At 44.4% G+C, this 23191-nt stretch overlaps 1 long non-coding RNA gene across 1 annotated transcript in view, besides 1 other annotated feature; it reads right to left on the bottom strand.

Moving 5' to 3' along the window:
• The window catches only part of CASC15 (cancer susceptibility 15), a 529408-nt gene that overhangs the window by 394697 nt on the left and 111520 nt on the right, over positions 1-23191 (bottom strand). The window contains exon 3 of the long non-coding RNA NR_015410.2: positions 17416-17492. This is a non-coding gene — a long non-coding RNA (cancer susceptibility 15). The remainder of the gene's footprint in view (positions 1-17415; positions 17493-23191) is intronic.
• Positions 2665-3262: an enhancer, noted in NCBI's record as "H3K27ac-H3K4me1 hESC enhancer chr6:21798093-21798690 (GRCh37/hg19 assembly coordinates)". NCBI's record gives its function as "activates a minimal SCP1, AML or CMV promoter by ChIP-STARR-seq in naive H9 embryonic stem cells {active_cell/tissue: H9 hESC(naive)}" and the evidence as "EXISTENCE:reporter gene assay evidence [ECO:0000049][PMID:30033119]".

Raw genomic sequence — 23191 nt, 5'->3', positions numbered from 1 at the left:
CAGAGCCGAGTGCCATTCCCTGGACGACAGGAGAATGTGACTGCAATTGCAATGCCTGTTGAGTGTACGCAATTATCTTTTAATATTAGCAAAAGCTGTATGCAGCGAGCACCCCCACTCCCACCACACACACAAAAATCCGTATCAGCTGCCTCTCCACCTGACCATTTCTCAGGAAATGAATATGTCAGGTAAATGAAAGAGAGATGGGGTCACCAGCACCTTAGTAAGATCTAATTCAAATCCTTCATTTTTGGAAAATCCACTCATTTAAAACCAAAATCAGGAATTTTGAAAAAAAAAAAAAATTGGCAGCCTTTCAATTTGAAAATAGAGTAACTTAACTGATGAATTAAAAAAATTTATAGACAAGATGGCATTCTAAATTTCAACAAGTATTTTTAAGTCCAAAAAAAAAATCACTGTGTCCCTCCATTAATTCCAACAATAGTATGTGGCTTTGCACATAACACAATCTAAGTATTTATTTGCTTGTATTTTGATCTCAGCAGTGGAAAGTCCATAAAATGAAAGATTCATATACACTAATGGCTGCTGTTTATTGAATGACTGGTACATACCAGGCACTCTGCTAAGTGCTTTCCAGGTTTCATTCCATTGAATTCCCTCAACCTGATGGAGAACAACCAGGTTCTCTATTTTATAGATGAGTCCACGAGGCTTCAATAAATAAAACAACACATCCATAGTCCACAAAGCTAGAGGGTGGCCGAGCTGGTACTTGGAGAGAAGTCTGGCTAACTTCAAAGCCCTCAACCACTTTTATGAACTATTATAGTATATTATCCTTTATAAGTAGGTAATGTACTAAAACACCACTACCACTGACACTTTTTTAAAAACAGGGGGCAGAGACAAGCAACCTGAATTCTTACGTAACTTACTTATTTAAAGACCCTGTCTTTATTTTTTAAGACAGGGTCTCTCTCTGTTACCTGAGCTGAAGTGCAGTGGCGTGTGATCACAGCTCACTGCGGCCTCTACCTCCCAGGCTCAATCAATCCTCCTGTGTCCGGAGTAGCTGGGACTACAGGCGTGTGCCACCACACCCAACTAATTTGTCTTATTTTTTGTGGAGACAAGATCTCACTCTATTGCTCAGGCTGGTCTCAAACTCCTGGGCTCAAGCAATCCTGCCTCAGCCTTCCAAAGTACTGGGATTACAGACATAAGCCACTATGCCTGGCCTGAATTATTTGACTTTTATTCTTGAGGAAAACATTCATTGTGGAGTGAGGGTGAGAATGTGGGATCTGGAATCTTGTCTCTGATATAAACTGACCACAGGCAAGTTATTGAACCTCAGAGAGTCCACATTCTCTTCTTTGAAATGGAAATAACAACGTCCACCTCACATGGCTGTTAGAAGAACCTACTGAAATAGCCATCTTTGGTACTCACTGTTAGCTTTCTTTCTTCTCTTTTTTTATTATTTTTTCTTCTTATTTTTTTTTTTAGACAGAGTCTCACTCTGTCACCCAGGCTGGAACGCAGTGGTGCGACCTCGGCTCACTGCAACCTCCACCTCCTGGGTTCAAGCGATTCTCCAGTGTCACCCTCCCAAGTAGCTGGGATTATAGGCACCTGCCACCATGCCCAGTTAATTTTTGTACTTTTTTTTTTTTTTTTTTTTAGTAGAGATGGGGATTTCACCATGTTGGCCAGGTTGGTCTCGAACTCCTGACCTCAGGTGATCCACCCGCCTCGGCTTCCCAAAGTACTGGGATTACAGGTGTGAGCCACCACGCCTGGCCTTTCTTTCCTCTCTTAGTCTCAGTGTCCTACTCTATCAGCTAGGGATAACAAACTTCATCATACCAACATCACAGAGGTCATTAAAGGAAAAGATATTAGTAGAATTGCTTTGAAAAAAAGTTATGTTTTAGAGAAGCTTTATTTCAGATCATTAGCACTTTTAGGTGTACTGACTCCCTGAAAAGAAATTATAAATCGTCACTTAGTCAACCTGAAGAGCTCATATTTAAGAAAGTAGTCTTAACTTTTTTATTGTTTTGTAAATTATCTTGATTCATATGTTTTTCAGCTCTGAGTTCTATTTTTTTTTTTTTACTTAGTGTTTCAAGGAGTCATTATTAAGCACCCATTAAGTACTCAGGCCCATAGGGAATTTTAAAAGTTGGAAATAGGATTCTTGCACCTAGGAAGGTATGATGTTTGGCTGGGTTTTCTAAAAGTAGGCACACATAAAATGTGTGGATTAATCAGTAGTTGTCAGTGATTAGCATTAGGAAAAGCGTGTAACTATTAACCAGCAGCAGAAGAGGATCAGGTGTGGTGGCTCACACCTGTAATCTCAGCACATTGGGAGGCTGAGACAGGAGGATCACTTGAGGCCAGGAGTTCAAGAACAGCCTGGGCAACATAGCAAGACTCTGTCTCTATAAAAAATAGAAAATTAGATGAATGTGGTGGCAGTAGCCCTAGCTATTTGGGAGGCTGACATGGGAGGATTGCTTGAGTCCAGCAGTTCCAGGCTGCAGGCTGCAGCGAGCCATGATCGCACCATTGCACTCTAGGCTGGGCGACAGAGCAAGATCCTGTCTCAAAAATGCAAACAAAAAGTAGCAGAAGGGAATTTCTTGGTCATGCTGGAACAGTTCTGTATCCCAATTGCAGTGATGGCTACTTGAATCTACAAGGATAACAAAATTTTGTAGAAAAATCTACACCCCCCTCCCTCTCCCTCTCCCTCTCCCCACGGTCTCCCTCTCCCTCTCTTTCCACGGTCTCCCTCTGATGCCGAGCCGAAGCTGGACAGTACTGCTGCCATCTCGGCTCACTGCAACCTCCCTGCCTGATTCTCCTGCCTCAGCTTGCCGAGTGCCTGCGATTGCAGGCGCGCACCGCCACGCCTGACGGGTTTTCGTATTTTTTTGGTGGAGACGGGGATTCGCTGTGTTGGCTGGGCTGGTCTCCAGCTCCTAACCGCGAGTGACCCGCCAGCCTCGGCCTCCCGAGGTGCCGGGATTGCAGACGGAGTCTCGTTCACTCAGTGCTCAATGGTGCCCAGGCTGGAGTGCAGTGGCGTGATCTCGGCTCGCTACAACCTCCACCTCCCAGCAGCCTGCCTTGGCCTCCCAAAGTGCCGAGATTGCAGCCTCTGCCCGGCCGCCACCCCGTCTGGGAAGTGAGGAGCGTCTCCGCCTGGCCGCCCATCGTCTGGGATGTGAGGAGCCCCTCTGCCTGGCTGCCCAGTCTGGAAAGTGAGGAGCGTCTCTGCCCGGCCGCCATCCCATCTAGGAAGTGAGGAGCGCCTCTTCCCGGCCGCCATCACATCTGGGAAGTGAGGAGCATCTCTGCCCGGCCGCCCATCATCTGAGATGTGGGGAGCACCTCTGCCCTGCCGCCCCGTCTGGGATGTGAGGAGCATCTCTGTCCGGCCGCCCCGTCTGAGAAGTGAGGAGACCCTCTGCCTGGCAACCGCCCTGTCTGAGAAGTGAGGAGCCCCTCCGCCCAGCAGCCACCCCGTCTGGGAAGTGAGGAGCGTCTCCTACCGGCAGCCACCTCGTCCGGGAGGGAGGTGGGGGGGTCAGCCCCCCGCCCGGCCAGCCGCCCCGTCCGGCAGGTGAGGGGCGCCTCTGCCCGGCCGCCCCTACTGGGAAGTGAGGAGCCCCTCTGCCCGGCCAGCCGCTCAGTCCAGGAGGGAGGTGGGGGGGTCAGCCCCCCGCCCGGCCAGCCGCCCCATCCGGCAGGTGAGGGGCGCCTCTGCCCGGCCGCCCCTACTGGGAAGTGAGGAGCCTCTCTGCCCGGCCAGCCGCTCCCTCCGGGCGGGAGGTGGGGGGGTCAGCCCCCCGCCCGGCTAGCCGCCCCGTCCGGGAGAGAGGGAGGTGGGGGGGTCAGCCCCCCGCCCGGCCAGCCGCCCCGTCCAGGAGGTGAGGGGTGCCTCTGCCCGGCCGCCCCTACTGGGAAGTGAGGAGCCACTCTGCCCAGCCAGCCACCCCGTCCGGGAGGGAGGTGGGGGGGTCAGCCCCCCGCCCGGCTAGCCGCCCCGTCGGGGAGAGAGGGAGATGGGGGGGTCAGCCCCCCGCCCGGCCAGCCGCCCGTCCAGGAGGTGAGGGGCGCCTCTGCCCGGCCGCCCCTATGGGAAGTGAGGAGCCACTCTGCCCGGCCAGCCGCCCCGTCCGGGAGGGAGGTGGGGGAGTCAGCCCCCCGCCCGGCCAGCCGCCGCGTCCGGGAGGGAGGTGGGGGGGTCAGCCCCCCACCCGGCCAGCCGCCCCGTCTGGGAGGTGAGGGGCGCCTCTGCCCGGCCGCGCCTACTGGGAAGTGAGGAGCCCCTCTGCCCGGCCAGCCGCCCCGTCCGGGAGGGAGGTGGGGGGGGTCAGCCCCCCGTCCGGCCTGCCGCCCCGTCCGGGAGGTGAGGGGCGCCTCTGCCCGGCCGCGCCTACTGGGAAGTGAGGAGCCCCTCTGCCCAGCCACCACCCTGTCTGGGAGGTGTACCCAACAGCTCATTGAGAACGGGCCATGATGACAGTGGCAGTTTTGTGGAATAGAAAGGGGGGAAAGGTGGGGAAAAGATTGAGAAATCGGATGGTTGCCGTGTCTGTGTAGAAAGAGGTAGACATGGGAGACTTTTCATTTTGTTCTGTACTAAGAAAAATTCTTCTGCCTTGGGATCCTGTTGATCAGTGACCTTACCCCCAACCCTGTGCTCTCTGAAACATGTGCTGTATCCACTCAGGGTTGAATGGATTAAGGGCGGTGCAAGATGTGCTTTGTTAAACAGATGCTTTAAGGCAGCATGCTCCTTAAGAGTCATCACCACTCCCTAATCTCAAGTACCCAGGGACACAAACACTGCGGAAGGCCGCAGGGTCCTCTGCCTAGGAAAACCAGAGACCTTTGTTCACTTGTTTATCTGCTGACCTTCCCTCCACTATTGTCCTGTGACCCGGCCAAATCCCCCAAAAACACCCAAGAATGATCAATAAAAAAAATAAAAATAAAAAAAATTTAAAAAAAACCTCTAGTTAACACATAATAATGCCCGCACTGAGCAGGTGTTCACTAAGGTGTTGAATTAATAGTTGAAACTGTAAAAAAAAAAAAAAAAAAAAGAAAGAAAACCAGTGTTAGTTAGAATGTGGATAAGTTGGAACCCTTGGGCATTGCTGGTGGGAATATAAAATGGTGGGCTGCTGTGGAAAATAGTTTGGTGGTTCCTCAAAAACTTAAATATAGACTTACTAGATGACCCAGCAATTTCACTCCTCAGTGGTATATACTCAAAATACTTGAAAACAGAGACTCAAACAGAAACTTGTCCACCAATGTTCATAGCAGCATTATTCACACTAGTTAAAGGTGGAACCAACCCAAGTGTCTATCAACTGATGAATGGATAAGCAAAATATAGTATATATGTATAATGAATATTAATTCAGACATAAAAAGGAATGAAGCTCTGAAACATGCTGTAATTTGCATGAACCTTAAAAACATGCTACATTACATAAGCCAAACAGAAAAGGGGAAAAAAAAAAAAGAAAAAAAGAAAAATCTACACCCCCTTCCAAAAAAAGAATGCATGTAAAAATCGGTTAAATCTAAATAAGGTCTCTTACCTGAGTTAATGGCATTATGCCAATGTCAATTTCCTAGTGGTTTTTTTTTTGTTTTGTTTTTGTTTATTTTTTTGTTTTGAGATGGAGTCTCGCTCTGTCACCCAAGGTGGAGTGCAGTGGCATGATCTCGGCTCACTGCAACCTCTGCCTCCTGGGTTCAAGCAATTCTCCTACCTCAGCCTCCTGAGTAGCTGAGACTACAGGCACATGCCACCACGCCCAGCTAATTTTTTGTATTTTATTAGAGACGGGGTTTCACCGTGTTGCCCAGGCTGTTCTCGAACTCCTGAACTCAGGCAATCCGCCCGCCTCGGCCTCCCAAAGTGCTAGGATTACAGGCGTGAGCCACCACACCCAGCCAATTTCCTAGTTTTGACTATGTACTAAGGTTATGTAAGGTGTTACATTGGTGGATGCTGAGTGAAGGCACATGGGAACTGTCTGGACTATACTGCAACTACCTGTGAATCTTTTTTTTTTTTTGAGACAAGAGTTTTGTTCTTGTCTCCCAGGCTGAAGTGCAATGGCATGATCTTGGTTCACTGCAACCTCGGCCTCCCAGGTTCAAGAAATTCTCCTGCCTCAGCCTCCCAAGTAGCTGGGATTACAGGTGTCAGCCACCATGCCTGGCTAATTATTTTATTTTATTTTGGTAGAGACGAGGTTTCACCACCTCGGCCAGGATGGTCTTGAACTCCTGACCTCAGGTTATCTCCCCATCTCGGCCTCCCAAAGTGCTGGGATTACAGGCATGAGCCACTGTGCCTGGCCACCTGAATCTTAAAATATAAAAATAAATTAGCTGGGCACAGTGGCGGACACCTGTAATCCCAGTTACTTGGAAGGCTGAGGCGGGAGAATCGCTTGAACCTGGGAGGCGGATGTTGCAGTGAGCCAAGATCGCGCCACTGCACTCCAGCCTGAGCAACAGAGTGAGACTCTGTCCAAAAAAAAAAAAAAAAAAAAAAATATATATATATATATATACACACACACACATATATATGTATATATATATATTTATATATGTGTGTATATATATATGTGTATATATATTATATATGTGTATGTATATATATATTTATATATGTGTGTATATATATATGTGTGTATATATATATGGCGCTTATAAGAGGAAGCCCCTTATAAACTGATATGGGAAGATTTCTAAGATGTATAGTTAAGTGAAAACCAAAAGGAAGACACTGAAGCATGCGTACAATATGCTACCTTTTGTGTAAAAGCAGGAAATACAGAAGAGATACTCATATTCCCACAGAGCATCAGTGGACAATGCAGGCTACATCAGAAACAGGACAGTGGTTACCTGCAGGGACAGGGAAGAAGGGACTTGACAGATGAGGCACAAAGACGAAAGAGAGAACATTACACTTTTTGGGTTTTGAACCATGTAATGTAATATTATTCAGGAAAACAAATCAAAAGTCAAAAAGAAAAAACTGATAGCAACATAATGATAATATCAATGTGGAAACCTGCGTGTCAGGTCCTTTGCTGAACAACTTAAATACATTATCTGGCCAGGCACAGTGGCTCAAACCTGTACTGATATAATCCCAATAATATGGGAGGCCGAAGTGGGAGGATTGCATAAGGCCAGGAGTTCTAGACCAACCCGGGCAACATAGCCAAGACACCATCTCTACAAAAAAATTTTAAAAATTAGCTGAGCATGGTGGCATATGCCTGTAGTCCTCATTACTTGGGAAGCTGAGGCAGGAGGATTGTGTCAGCCTGGGAGTTTGAGGCTGCAGTGAGCTGTGATCGCACCACTGCACTCCAGCCTGGGTGACAAGAGTGAGACCTTGCCTCAAAAAAAAAAAACAAAAGCAAAAAACAAACATAAAATTATTTCTAATCCTCAAAAGAGCAACAATTACCTCTTTTCACAGAGGGTAAAACCAAAACTCAAGAATAATTAATTTTTTAAACCTTTCCCGAAGCCCCTGCTCCTTCCATGATAATGGACTTCCCTCCTATTTAAAGTTCGCTGGCCAGACCATGCTACAACTTGGTGTCCTTTTACGTGTTTTTTTTCTCCGCCTGAAACCCCTCTCACCCCTCACCTTACTTTGCTTGGCTGGAATGCCCTTATTCAACCTGAATAAAGCTGAAATAATTAAAAAGAAAAATTTTTTTAACCTTAAAAGAAAAAGAAGAATCCCTGTTAATTATGAATGGGCATAAGTAGATATTCTTTACAAACCTTTAACACCAAATTTCTGAGTAAGGCTGATTCCTAATATTTCCAGAAAATTCTTTGCCAAATATGAATTCATAAAGAGTGATAATACCGTTCTAAAAAATATATTACATTCCTTAAAAAAGCATGGCTTTTTAAAATTTCCTTTTCTTTGAAGTGTGTTTACCTTAAAAAGTGGAATAAAGGGCACTGTGTTCAGAAGAAACCTTAGTCCTTTGATGCTAAACTTCCAAACTACTTTGTGGCCATTTAATACAGCATGGGTTCCTAGAGAGACACAGAGAACTCCTGACTTTAAAAGCTCTGTTATTTACCTTAAAAAGATTTGTCCTCTAGAGGCCAGGCACGGTGGCTCACGCCTGTAATCCCAGCACTTTGGGAGGCCTAAGCGGGCAGATCATTTGAGGTCAGGAGTTCGAGACCAGCCTGGCCAAAATGGTGAAGCCCCGTCTCTACAAAAAATACATAAAAAATTAGCCGGGTGTGATGACACACAGCTGTAATCTCAGCTACTCAGAAGGCTGAGGCAGAAGAATCACTTGAACCCAGGAGGCAAAGTTTGCAGTGGGCCAAGATCATGCCACTGCTCTCCAGCCTGGGTGACAGAGTGAGTCTCTGTCTCAAAAAAAAAAAGAAAGAAAGAAAGAAAAAGAAGGAAGGAAGGAAGGAAGGAAGGAAGGAAGGAAGGAAGGAAGGAAGGAAAGAAAGAAAGAAAGAAAGAGAATTCATCCTCTAGAGAGTGTTTTCATAAGTTTGATCAACAGTAAAATGCAGGTCAGCATGCCATGGCAGTCAAAGGTAAATGGGGGCCAGGTGCAGTGGCTCGTGCCTATAATTCCAACACTTTGGGAGGCCAAGGCAGGAGGACTGCTCGAGGTCAGGAGTTCAAGGCCAGCCTGGACAACATAGCAAGACCCCATGTCTACAAAAAAATTATTTAAAAAAAAAATTAGCTAGGTGTGGTGGCACACACCTACTCGGGAGGCTGAGGCAAGAGGATATCTTGAGCCCAGAAGTTTGAGGCTACAGTGAGCCAAGATTGCTCTGCACTCCAGCCTGGGCAACACAGCGAGACCCTGTCTCTAAGAAAAAGAAAACAAGAAAAGAAAAAGATACATGGTCTGAAGTCAGACCCCTGGGGTCAAGTTCTGGCTTTGCCAATTCCTATGTCCTTGAACAAGATAACTTCTCTGTGTCTCGTTTTCATCATTTGTAAAATGAAGTTTTGCTGATATCAAACAAACAGAGATAAGGAATAATTAAATAACTTACAACACATGTAAAGGGCTTCTGAACAGTGCCTAACATGGGCCAAGTATGAATAAACATCAGCTAGCAGTAATATATAGCTTGGTCATACGGTATATACTTGATAAATAGTGTTAACTCCAAGAAGGAGCTTGTCTGTGGTTAAGCTTAAGGAATTTGAAAGAATACAACAGATAAGACGAAACACTGAAAACACCAAGAATGTGAGGATGGGAAGCGTATCTTTAGGTGGTGTGTGCTAGCAGTGCTAATCTGCTTTCCAAGCGATAAGCCTGACCCTCTAGAGGAGAGGACTCACATCCCAAACACCAGATTGCCCTCTGCTTTGAGGATTTTGGTTAACCAGAGGATGTTAATTTTGCAAGTCATTTTATAGTTTAACTTTTCCAGATGTCTGTCATGCAGCAACTTTTCTTTTCTTTTTTTTTTTTTGAGACAGAGTCTCACTTTCTTACCCAGGCTGAGGTGCAGTGGCGTGATCTCGGCTCACTGCAAACTCCGCTTCCCGGGTTTAAGTGATTCTCCTGCCTCAGCCTCCTGAGTAGCTGGGATCACAGGTGCCCACCACCACGTCCAGCTAATTTTTGTATTTTTAGTAGAGAGGGGGTTTTACCATCTTGGCCAGGCTGGTCTTGAATTCCTGGCCTTAAGTGATCTGCCCACCTCGGCCTCCCAAAGTGCTGGGATTACAGGGATGAGCCATTGTGCCTGGCTGCAACATTTCTTTTCAATGACGATTCTAAAACACAGATCTTAAGCAGGTCATGGTATCCAGCCAGGTGCATTCTTAAAAGAGTTCTCATTGCCATGTGTTTAACTTCCCCATATGCTTCTGGAGGCCTTTATAACTCATACCTGACAAACTCATTCCAATCACTTTACATAAAAAGCTTTATTATTAATTAATGGTTATTATTAATACCATAATATTTAAAGTTGCTAAATCGGTATCTAAATCAGCATCAGGGTGTTTTACTTAATCACAAAGACAGCTGGGCGCAGTGATTCACACCTATGATCCCAGCACTTTGGGAGGCTGAGATGGGTGGATCACTTGAGGTTAGGAGTTCCAGACCAGTCTGACCAACATGGTGAAACCTCATATCTATTAAAAAAATACAAAATTAGCCAGGTGTGGTGGCACAAGCCTGTAATCCCAGCTACTTGGGAGGCTGAGGCAGGAGAATCACTTGAACCCAGGAGGCAGAGGTTGCAGTGAGCCGAGATTGTGCCATTGCACTCCAGCCTGGGCAACAAGAGCAAAACTCTGTCTCAAAAAATAATAATAATTAATCACAAAGACACTTTTCATGGGGACTTGACCAGATATTTACATACCCATGTTCATAGAGGTATTCACAATAGCCAACAGGTGGAAGTAACCCGTGTCCATCAACAGATGAATGAATAAACAAAATGTGATATATACATACAATGGAATATTATTCAGCCTTACAAAGGAAGGAAATTCTGACATATGCCAAAACATGGATGAATTTTGAAGACATTACGCTAAGTGGAAAAAATCAGTCACAAGAAGAAAAATACCGCATGATTCCACTTACATGAGGTACCTAGAGCAGTCAAATTCATAGACACAGAAAGTGGAATGGTGGTAGCCAGGGGCTGAGGGGAGGGAAGAATGAAGAGTTAGTGTTTAATGGGTACAGAGTTTCAGGTTGGGAAGATAAAAACTTTATTTTTTTTTTTATTATACTTTAAGTTCTGGGGTACGTGTGCAGAACGTGCAGGTTTGTTACACAGGTATACACGTGCCATGGTGGTTTGCTGCACCCATCAACCTGTCATCTACATTAGGTGTTTCTCCTAATGCTATCCCTCCCCTACCCCCACCCCACCGGACAGGCCCCGGAGTGTGATGTTCCCCTCTCATGTGTTCTCATTGTTCAACTCCCACTTATGAGTGAGAGGGAAGATGAAAACTTTCAAAAGATAATAGTGGCAACAATTGCACACAACAATATGAGTGTATTTAATGCCAATGAAGTGTACATTTAAAAATGGCTTAAATGATAATTTTATATTATGTATACTTCACCACAATAAAAAATATGTATTACTGAAATCCTGTAACACATACAAAGGAAAGGGAGGAGTAGGTAGTTATCAATGAAGTTGGACTCAGAAGCATTTCATCAATTCCAAGCAAGAGAAACCCTAAGAAACTGGCGCAACACACACACACATACACACACACACGAAACCAAGAAACACAGAAAATAAAAGAAAGATTCCTCTTTATTTTAGCTAAAGAGATTCCTTTCAGTATAAAAACAGAGTAAGAGTTAATCATCTCAAAAAGTTAAAGGGAAAAATACTCAAACTCTAGTCTGAAGCTGGACTCAAGAAACAGTTCATCTAGATAATTCCAAGCAAGAGAAACCCTAAGAAACTGACCAAAAAAAAGAAAAAAGAAACCAAAAAACACAGAAAATAAAAGAAAGGTTCCTCTTTAACTTAACAGACTTCACTTCAGTATAAAAACAGTAAGAGTTAACATCTCCAAAACTTAAAAAAGAAAAATACTCAAACTCTAGTCTATTCTAAGTCTCCGCCATACAACACACAAGTTTTGTCTGATAACTGATTTTTTTTTTTTTTGAGACAAAGTCTCACTCATGTCCCCCAGGCTGGAGTGCAGTGGCACAATCTCCGCTCCCTGAAACCTCCGCCTCCCGGGTTCAAGCAATTCTCCTGCCTCGGCCTCCCGAGTAGCTGGGATTACAGGTACCTGCCACCACGCCCAGCTAATTTTTATATTTTTAGTAGAGATGGGGTTTCACCATCTTGGCCAGGCTGGTCTTGAACTCCTGACCTCAGGTGATCCACCCCCGCCCCTGCCTCCCAAAGTGCTGGGATTACAGGTGTGAGCCACCACACCCGGCCGATAACTGATATTTTAAGTAGAACAGCAACAGGAATGGAATGTAGCAAAAATTACAGACCTGAAACTACCATCACAAAATGAAACTTGGATCCTTCATAATCTTTATGGTCAAGGCAAAGTCAAATAAATTTCAGTTAGGTTAATCCCATTAAGATCTAATATTGTTATCCTTTTTTAAGTGAAAATACATTTAATTAGATCATAGGAATGAAGAGAAAGTCTGGTTCTTCCACTTCAATATCCGTTTCTTGAATCTTACGGACGTGACATGAATATGGAAAGGACTATTTGCTTCTGGTACTTTATTTTGTCTCTCTTTCTTTCTCTTTACCCTTCCTTGCAGCCATATTTACTGGAATTTTATAGTATCTTGACACCAAAGATCCTGCAAGGGGAGAAAAGCTCTTTAGAAATAAAGATCAGTGCCGGGCGCAGTGGCTCATGCCTGTAATCCCAGCATTCTGGGAGGTCGAGGTGGGCAGATCACAAGGTCAGGAGTTCGAGACCAGCCTGGCCAATATGGTGAAACCCTGTCTCTACTAAAAATACAAAATTAGCCAGACATGGGTGGCAGACGCCTGTAGTCCCAGCTACTCGGGAGGCTGAGGCAGGAGAAGTGCTTAAACCCAGGAGGCAGGGGTTGCAGTGAGCTGAGATCACGCTACCACACTCCAACGTGGATGACAGAGCGAGACTCTGTCTCAAAAAATTTAAAAGGAAATAAAAGATCAGTAAAATACTTTCCATTACTACCACATCCTTCATACCTTCAGCAACAAAGGTCTTCATAGAATAAAGCCTTCAGCAATGAATCGTGAAAAGTCAGTCGCTGCCAGATCTGATCATCTATTTCTTTTGAATCACTAAATAAAAGCTAACCAGGCAAATTATCTTTATGCCTAGAAAATGGTAGGACGATGCATTATAAATCTCATCTCAATGCTGAAGAAGAGAAAAATGAATGGTGTCATGGGCAGAAAGACAAGACAATGGAAAGTCTTGTCCTGGTCTTGAATAAGCAGACCTTTTACTATGGCAGGTTACAAATAGCCATTTTGGTGGAAAATAATACATACACACAGAGAGAGAGAGAGAGAGAAGGTAGTATGATATATAATTAAGTATTAAGCTAAGCTTTGGGGGTACTAGAGCAAAGAATGATCAAAATCAGCTCATGGGAAGTTTCTAGCACACCTTTAACTCATGTGTCTGCATGAAACATCATCTCTACTTGTAAGAGTCAATTCCTTGGCATTTGTGTACTCATCTGATTTAGTGTGATCTAAAAGGATAAACACAAAAAGTTTCAATAAAATTTGAATTCCTTTTTTGGTTCTTCAAAGGTAAGGGTTTTTTTTGTTTGTTTGTTTGTTTAATTCATTCTGAGTACAGGTTTTGTTGGGATTAGAAACAGGTGACATATGGCCGGGCATGGTGGCTCACGCCTGTAATCCCAGCACTTTGGGAGGCCAAGGCTGGGTGGATCACAAGGTCTAGGAGTTCGAGACCAGCCTGGCCAATATGGTGACACCAGGTCTCTACTAAAAATACAAAAATTAGCCAAGCATGGTGGCTCGCACCTGTAGTCCCAGCTACTCGGGAGGCTGAGGCAGAAGAATCGCTTGAACCCAGGAGGCGGAGGTTGCAGTGAGCCGAGATGGTGCCAGCCTGGGTGACAGAGCGAGACTCCATCTCAAAAAAAAAAAAAAGGAAGCAGGTGGCATATGAATATTTGGTATTGCTGGCAGTGAGTTTGCATATCAACAGAAAACAGAAATTTTCCAATCACACAAATCGTATATTGTAATCACATGAAAAAAAACTTTTTCAATATCTCTTAAACACTTTTCAAAAGGCCTAAGAATTAGACAGCCTCAAGGCCAACACACCTCTTCAATAACCCATTGTGTGGTGATTATTCCACAAAATGGTTTGGGAAATACATAAATGTATGTTTATTTTCCTAAGAGGCATATTAAATACTTTAACCAGTCAGGTTTCAAACCTCTGCTATAAATTAAGAATAAATAAATTCTTGAATTGATTAAATTTTTCCCATTTTGGAAAATGAAATTGGGTATTTATTTCTGCCACATCTGCCATCAGCAAGAAGGGCATGAAATAAAATAAATATTGGCACCAAAAAAAGCTTACTTCTTCCCCATATTTTCTATTGGAAAAATAAGGTTTGTTTTCCAGTAAGATATTTCATTTTTTAAAAAAATCTGCTTCTACTCAAGGCTGGGGTTCTATTTGTTTTTAAATGAAGCCCACCAAACCTCCCAAGTGCAACTCAGATTTACATCTGGCTAATCCTGCAAATATGACCAACCAAATTCATGCTGTTTATTTTATTTATTTTTTTGAGACAGAGTCTCGCCCTGTTGCAGAGGCTGAAGTGCAGTGGCGTGATCTCGGCTCACTGCGACCTCTACCTCTTGGGTTCAAGCAATTCTCTGCCTCAGCCTCCCAAGTAGCTGGGATTACAGGTGCCCACCACCACGCCCAGCTAATTTTTGTATTTTTAGTAGAGACAGGGATTTACCATCTTGGCCAGGCTGGTCTCGAACTCCTGACCTCGGGATCCACCCGCCTCGGCCTCCCAAAGTGCTGGGATCACAGGCATGAGCCACCGCGCCCAGCCCATGCTGTTTATTTCTAATGAGTTCTGTGATTTTTGGATAACACATGTGAAAGATAGCAAATTAACTACTGCTAGTCAGCAGCATGCAAGCAAAAACTGTCTTGGGAAGCCAGTGTGAGCAAATCCTGCAAGTCAATTTCTAATCACACTTGCCAGAAACTTGGGGGGGACAGGTGATAAACTCTGCCAAGAAAATCAGTAGTAGAACTTGTTTCCCTTTCCTTTTTCCATGGACTATTTCAACACTCAACCAACAAATACAGCCCAACCTTTCCTTTCCATAATTTCGGAGACTGCAAGGAAGGCTCTGGTCTCGTTGATAGTCTTAGAAAAATTAAAAAGCCTCACATTGCAAAATGTAGTATCAGTCTCTCGAGTTCATTTCCTGGAGCTATAGCCATTTACAGGAAAGAGAATGAAGGAGGTGAAAGAGGGTGTCATTTGTATACTTTAAAAAATGCATATTCTGCCCAAGACACCTACAAGTGAGTAGACAAACCATATTCAAATCTCCTTACCTAGACAAAAACTAGCCGGAAATACTGCAGAAAGAGTCAGCAGTAGCTCAAAACAACAAAAAAAGCTAGAGATGGCAGAAAAAAACTCCCCCAAACCAGGTCGCTAATGGCTTAAGAACCAGAGTTTGCAAAGTACTTACTCGTTTGAAGGGTAAGACCCCCGAGTGCATTCTTGCAGGATATTTTCATCTTAGTTTCCCAACTGAATCCCAAACCAAACACAAGTCTTTCCCAGTGGTTTTGGACCATGACTGCAATTAGAATCACCTGAAGCACCTTTAAATCTTGCTGTTGCTGGGACCACCCCTAACCCCACCCACAACCCAATTGAAACCAGAATTTCCTGGGGTCAGGCCAGGGCACCAGTGTCTTTCAAAGCCCTCTGGAGTGATTCGACTGTGCTGCCAGCAGTTGAGGACCACAACTTTGTAAGTATGCTTTTTAAAAAAGAAGGTGATTTCCCCATCAAATACACCCAGATCTCTATTTTCACTCTCTCTGTCCTGCTCCAGAAAATCATGATCACCACTTCCATTCCCTGCTCTCCTACACACTTCCTAATGCAGCAGCAGTCTGTGTGTGCTGCCCTCCACAGCTAGAAATGGAAGGTGGCTTGGCACAGGCCCTAGAAGGCAATAGAAGGCTGGACTCCATCTTGGTGACCCAAGTGTGTAAGCACATCATCTCAGCACATGCTGTGATGTTAAACACAAAGACAAATGCAAAATAGGGTGTGTAAAGAGCATAAAATTTTGCTTTCCTTTAGACCAGTAGTTCTCTTAACTCTACCACGCATTGGAATCACCTGGAAGGCTTGTTAAAACACTACACTCCCAGAATCACTGATTCAGTCAGCTGTAGGGTCTAATGATTTCCGTCTCTGGCAAGTTCGCAAGTGATGCTGATGCTGCTGGTCTTAGGACCAAATTTTGAGAACCACTACTCTAGATTAAACTTCTGGCATCTTCAAACATTTGAAATGCCAAACAAATTTGGTTTTGTTACTATCTCTCTATATAAATATATTCCAATTATAATTGGAATACTGAACACTAGTTGGATATTTGATATGAAGGACTTAACTACTGTTTGAGGATGTTTTTTTGTTTTGGCTGGCGGGGAGCTCTTGGTAATTTTGTTGTTGTTTTTGTTGTTGTTCTTTGTTTTGTTTTTTGAGACAGGGTCTTGCTCTGTCGTCTAGGCCAGAGTGCAGTGGCATAATCACAACTCACTATGGCCTCAAATTCCTGAGCTCAAGTGATCCTGCCTCAGCCCACCAAGTGGCTGGAACTACAGGCATGTGCCACCATGCCTGGCTAAAAAAAAAAATGTAAATTTTATATATATATATATATATATATATATATTTTTTTTTTTTTTTTTTTTGGTAGAGATGGGGTTCTCGCTGTGTTGCCCAGGCTGGTTCTCAAACTCCTGGGCTCAAGCGATCTTTCCACCTTGGCCTCCCAAAGTGCTGGGATTTCAGTGAGCTACCACATCTAGCCTTAACTACTGTTTTAAGAGCAAAAGTGACACTACAGTTATGTTTTAAATAAAAATAAGGAGTTCTGGCCCGGTGTGGTGGCTCACACCTGTAATCCCAAGCATTTTGGGAGGCTAAGGCTGGCGGGTCAACTGACGTCAGGAGTTCAAGACCAGCCTGGCCAACATGGCGAAATCCTGACTCTACTAAAAAATACAAAAATTAGCAGGGCATGGTGGTGCGCACCTGTAATCCCAGCTACTTGGGAGATTGAGGCAGGAGAATCACTTAAACCTGGGAGGTGGAGGTTGCAGTGAGCTGAGATCGCAGTGCAGTGAGCTGGACTGCACTCCAACCTGGGCAACAGAGCGAGACTCTGTCTTAAAAAAAAAGAAAGAAAGAAAGAAATGAAAAGGAAAGAAATTCTTCTTTTTAAGAGATACATATTGGGGAAAAAAGTTTAAAACATTGGAGACAGAATTGACATTGGCCAAGTGCCCCAGCCTCCCTCCTCAGAGGGTAAGCCTTATCCTGAAGTTAGGGCTTACCACTCCATGCATGTTTTATATCATTAACAGTGTACACGTATGAATACTTAAAAATAATACCAAAAAATCATAGAAAAATAGCATAGATAAGGAACCAATCAATCAATGCAAAAAAGGAGAAGGAGGAAGGCAGCAGTGGCCATCAGGAAGTCTGCGGCAGCCCATGGAAGGGCAGGCAGCAGGCTATAGCCACGAAGGGAATCAGGGTGGTCCTTTACCTGGAAATCTTCCCCATCCAGAAAGTCTCCTACCGGAACATGCTGGGTGTTAACACATCTGTAGTCACCTGAGGGTACTAGGGGACAGAAAGGGAAACTGAGTCAAAAGTTGTAAAAGTAAACTGACGGCGACACAGTAGGGTAAGGTTTCACTACACATTTCTGTGTATTTTGAAGGTTCCTAGAAGATCTGGAAAGTCGAGTGTTTTCTACACTTAAGACCGTCACTGCACTTGACTGTTTTAGAGCCACGCCAGGGACTCAGTGCAGAATTCTACGTCGTCCTCACACCTGTAGTAAAGCTGGAAGCATTCAGTGAGGCACGATTTGGGCACCAACTCTGCTACTCCTAAGGCATTGCAAGAGAGTCATTAAGCCTTTGTAGGCTTAGATTTCAGTATCTGGAAAATTTACAGGATTCTCCAGAGTGACTCCCAAAATTAATGGAACATTACTACCCTTGGAAAATTACTAGTCCTTGGATGTAATGAGAAGAAAAGAAAATGAACTAACATTAATATATAAGCTAGATGTTATTTATTTTATTATATTATATATTATTTTATTTTTGAGATGGGAGTTTCACTCTTGTTGCCCAGGCTGGAGTGCAATGGCGCTATCTCAGCTCACTGCAACCTCCACCTCCCGGGTTCAGGCGACTCTCATGCCTCACCCTCCTGAGTAGCTGGGATTACAGGCATGTGCCACCACGCCCGGCTAATTTTGTATTTTTAGTAGAGACGGGGTTTCTCCATGTTGGTCAGGCTGGTCTTGAACTCCCGACCTCAGGTGATCCACCCACCTCTGCCTCCCAAAGTGTTGGGATTACAGGCATGAGCCACCGTGCCCAGCCCTAGATATTTATTTTATATAGTTTACTTCATTTAACCTTTGAAACGATTTTGTGAAGCTAGCAGCAATAGCAGCAGAAGGCTACAAAGAGACTGGGGCCAAGTGTGTGCAGTAACTTGCCTAAGGTCACAGAGCTAGTAGCAGCAGAGGCACAGATCAAAATCTGGACCTGGTTGACCCCCAAGAGGTTTTCCCACTATACCATGTGCCCTCTACTGAGTGCCATCCTGTTGCTGGTAGAGTCACACCAAAGCCACAGTAAATTTTAACTCCAGGACTTAAAAAGTGCAAGATTCTATCATACATCAAGTTTGTTTTCTGTGCCCAGGCTTATCTTTTAAAGAAATCTGGCATTTGGGCCGGGCGCCGTGGCTCACGCCTGTAATCCCAGCACTTTGGGAGGCCAAGGCGGATGGATCACGAGGTCAAGAGTTTAAGAGCCAGCCTGGCCAACACGGTGAAACCCCGTCTCTACTAAAAATACAAAAATTAGCTGGGCGTGGAGGCACGCACCTGTAATCCCAGCTACTTGGGAGGCTGATGCAGGAGAATCACTTGAACCTGGGAGGCGGAGTTTGCAGTGAGCTGAGATCGCGCCATTGCACTCCAGCCTGGGCGACAGGGTGAGACTCCATCTCAAAAAAAAGAATTCTGGCATTTTGTGGAAATGTATTCGATGATAAAATAATTGCCCAGAAGAATACCCAACAAAATTAGCTTATAATATTTCCTTTTACTTAAAAATTTATCTTTCTCTGATATTCCTCTTAAACACACACACATACACACATATATATATTTTATAGCAGGGGGTTATGTCTTTTTTTTTTTTTTTTTTTTTTTTTTGCGACAGGGTCTCAGCCTGTCACCCAGGCTGGAGGGCAGTGGCATGATCATGGATCACTGCAGCCTGGACCTCAGCAGGTTATGCCTTGATACAAGAAGGAAGCTTGGAAGATTTGCTCTCCTTTAAAATTTTTAGAGGCTACACCCGAAAGCACCTGATTCCAAAAGCAAGTATCTTGGCAAGTCATGAAAGATTTGACTATTTCACATAAGAGTGGCTATTTTTTTAAAGGAGAAATTTAATTGTCTAGAGGTTAGATATATACTACACTCCTATCAGGCCAAGGCGGTGAAGCAGCTTCAGTAGGTGAAGACATGGCACGAAGCAACTGTCTGGCTTTCTGGGGCTCAAGGTCATTTTTCTCTCCATATAGGGATTCGTCTAATTGGCGAAACACATTCGTCCAGTGGATCCGGTAGCAAGACAACCTATTAGATAGATCGGTGGTCTGATCTAGGACACAGCTGCTGAGCTCCCTCCAGGCTTAAAATAATTCAGCATTATCAACCCCTCCCCCATTAAGTACAATTAATTTTATGAAACGGAGAAAATAAGCATGGATAAATAAAATGGCTGACACACACCATGCATAGCAGAAAATGCCAACTGTGCTCTGTATACCAGTTCCCACTGACCTCGAGGTGCTAATGAGGGAGTTCTGCAAAGATTGCATTAAAAAGCCTCCTACACTCAGCCAGCCCTAACCCCACTCCAAACTTTTCTCCCACACCACAGCAGGAGGGCCTTGCTAATTGGAATCTGCAGAACACGTGGCCTGAAATTTGTTGTGGCAGCACACACCTCCAGTGCATCCTGAACCACACACACACACACACAACACTCAGATTTCTTAGTGTTTTTTTAAAAAAAATCTAAATGTGACAATAAATATAATCTTTAAAATTAAAACACATGTTTGTGTGATCGCGCCAAAAATAAAGCCAGGTGGAGGTGGTTTTTGTAAGCATACATCTCCCCTCAAGACTGGTGGTAATGACCAGAGATGGTAACAACAAAGATGCCTGGTGAAAAGAGACGCTCTAATCACATTAGCTGGTAGTTGTAAGGGAAGACGGTTGCTTTGAATTTCCCTTTATACACAGCAACTTCAAAAAAAAATCCGTATTTTCTTAGAACATCTTTATGTAGAAAAGCCTGCGTGCCTTTGAAACCTCAACACAAAACAAACAGGAGTCTTTACAAGTCCTGTCTGACCACCCAGGGAGGATCAAATAGTATTTTTTTCTCCAGTAGGCCACCCCAGGATACCACAAATAAAAATGAAAAGGAGGAATTCATCATGTAACCGGGGTGTATTTTGCTAGTGTAGTCATTACACTGTTTTAATCTAAATATTATGGTATATTTTTCACTGGCAAAGCCCAAGAAGATCTAATTATTCATTTATTGAACAGAAAACGTTCTGAAATAGCTGAAGTTAGGTTAAAATCTAGGAAAGAGCAGAAAGGGGAAGATGAAGGAGTTTTCTTCTCAGAATCCCAAGAATTGAGAGGGGTTTTTTTTAAAGGTGCTGATGTTCAGAATGGTAGGATGGGAAGCCAGGGCCCTGAGTTCCTTAGCACAGAAACCCAGAGATGAAAATGCTCAAGGGCTGAGGCTGCAGGAGACATCTGGGGAGGGGAGGGGAGTTTCCTCAGCATCACATGGAAGAGCTTAGGAGCATGAAAGGATGTTGGAATCATAAGAAGGTCTTAGAGTCATAAACATCCTGAAATGTACTCCTCTGATCATGTCTCCACCCTGCACAAAGTCTCCATCTGGGCCAAATAAAGACCAGACCCTGTAGTCAGACAATAAAAAGCCTCCTCGAATCCCAAGCTGTCATCCCAGGCTCGGTTTCCACTGCTGCCATTAAGGGACACTGTGCTCCAGCGCCACCGAAGTCTGTGCTGTTTCTCAGGTACACAGGGCACTTCCACCTCGTTGTGCCAGGGCACTGATGGTCTTCTTCACCTGAAATATCCTGGGCCAAGTGCAGTGGCTTACGCCTGTAATCCCAACAGTTTGGGAGGCTGAGGCAGGAGGATCACTTGAGATCAGGAGTTTGAGACCAGCCTGGACAACATGGCAAAACTCCATCTCTACAAAAAAATACAAAAATTAGCTGGGCATGGTGGTGCATGCCTGTGATCCCAGGTACTCACGAGGCTGAGGTGAGAGGATAGCTTGAGTCCAGGAGGCGGAGGTTACAGTGACCTGAGATCGAGGCACTGCACTCCAGCCTGGGGGACAGAGCAAGACCCTGTCTCAAAAAAAGAGCGGAGGGGAGTGGAGGGGAGGGAAAGGGAGGAATCCTGCAATCCTCATCTCTCTACTGACTCGATTTTTTTTTTTTTTTTTTTTGAGACGGAGTTTCACTCTTGTTGCCCAGGCTGGAGTGCAATGGCACGATCTCGGCTCACAGCACGTCCGCCTCCCAGGTTCAAGCCATTCTCCTGCCTCAGCCTCTGGAGTAGCTGGGATTACAGGCATGCGCCAGCACACCCGGCTAATTTTGTATTTTTAGTAGAGACGGGGTTTCACCATGTTGGTCAGGCTGGTCTCGAACTCCGGACCTCAGGTGATTCGCCTGCCTCGGCCTCCCAAAGTGCTGGGATTACAGGCGTGAGCCACCGCACCCGGCCTACTGACTCGATTTTTTAAGACAAAAGGATGAAAGGGGGTTGACAGACATCCTCTTAATCACAACTCTGCCACAATACAGCTGGGTGGCTTTGGGCCAGTTACTTAATCTCCTTTTCTGCCTCAGTTTCTTCATCTGCTAAATGGGGATAGTAAAGTGAAGACCATACACTACTGTGAACATTAAATGAAATGAGGATGCTAATCAACTGATGATGTTAATACATGTCAGTTTGCTCTACTCAAACATAAATGCCACCTTCCTTCTGAAGCCTTCCTTAACATCTGCAGCCAAATTTCTTGAATTTCTTGAAATTCCCATCGCACACATTAACCGCAGCTGTGTTTGGTACTTGGTCATTCTCTACTCACATTTGTGCCATGTTTCTATGTCAGCACGCCTACCAGACAATGTGCTTTTGGAGGGCAGAACCCATGTTTAATTCATGTTTGTATTCTTTCCAATTGTCTTGCACAAACTGTAATCAAATGGTAAGAATCTTAGGATTCTAGAATTAACAGGACCCTTTCAATAACCTAGACAAAACTCACCATTCTGTAGATGAAGAAAACTGAGTCCAAGTGAGATGAAGAAAATAATCACACTACTAGTAAGTAATAGAAATGAGTGGACAGATTGATGGGTGGAGAGGTGGATGGATGGATGGATGGATGGATGGATGGATGGATGGATGGGTGGGTGGGTGGGTGGGTGGATGGATGGATGGGTGGGTGGGTGGATGGATGGATAAATGGATGAATGGATGAATGAATGGACAGATGGATGCACAGATGCATGGTTGGATGGATGAACAACAGCAGCAAAAATAGGAACAGACCAACCAGCAGTCAGTTACAACATCCAAAACTTAACAGCAATTCAAATCCTAGGGCATAGTGAACTGACTCACCATATAATGGCCACCTTACTACGCATGTTGTCTTCATCTACTAAAAATCTTTCAATGCTATTTAAAAAAAAATTCCTTATAAAATTCAGATCCAGAAAATCCACCATGCAAAAGGATTTCAACCTCCTCAGTGCCAGGATCTCTTCATTAATTTAAAATATAATTGTATTCAAAACTTCGAAACAGCAGCTCACCTTCACCCTAGGTAGCTTATTCATGCCACAGGTGTTACTGAATGGCAATACCATGTGCCAATCACATATTTGTCCCCCCTCCTCACCCCCCAGGAAGCCCACAGACGGACCATTCCTGTGAAGAGCTCCCAGCTCAATGTCATCTCTTGCTCTTCTCCTCCAGTCTGCCACCTCCATCTGTCCCTACATTTACTCAGTAAAGTGCAGTACAGCATGATAAATCCCATCACAGAGATAATGAGAGAAATTATGGAAAGGCAGATTGCAAAGCACTTGGCAAACACTTACATTTGGAAGTTCTGGATATAGGAGCACATTTCCCTTTACTC

The sequence above is a fragment of the Homo sapiens genome, chromosome 6, assembly GCF_000001405.40.
Source record: "Homo sapiens chromosome 6, GRCh38.p14 Primary Assembly".
Taxonomy (NCBI): domain Eukaryota; kingdom Metazoa; phylum Chordata; class Mammalia; order Primates; family Hominidae; genus Homo; species Homo sapiens.
Note: the sequence above shows the minus strand (reverse complement) of the source record. Positions and strands in the feature narration are given on the sequence as shown.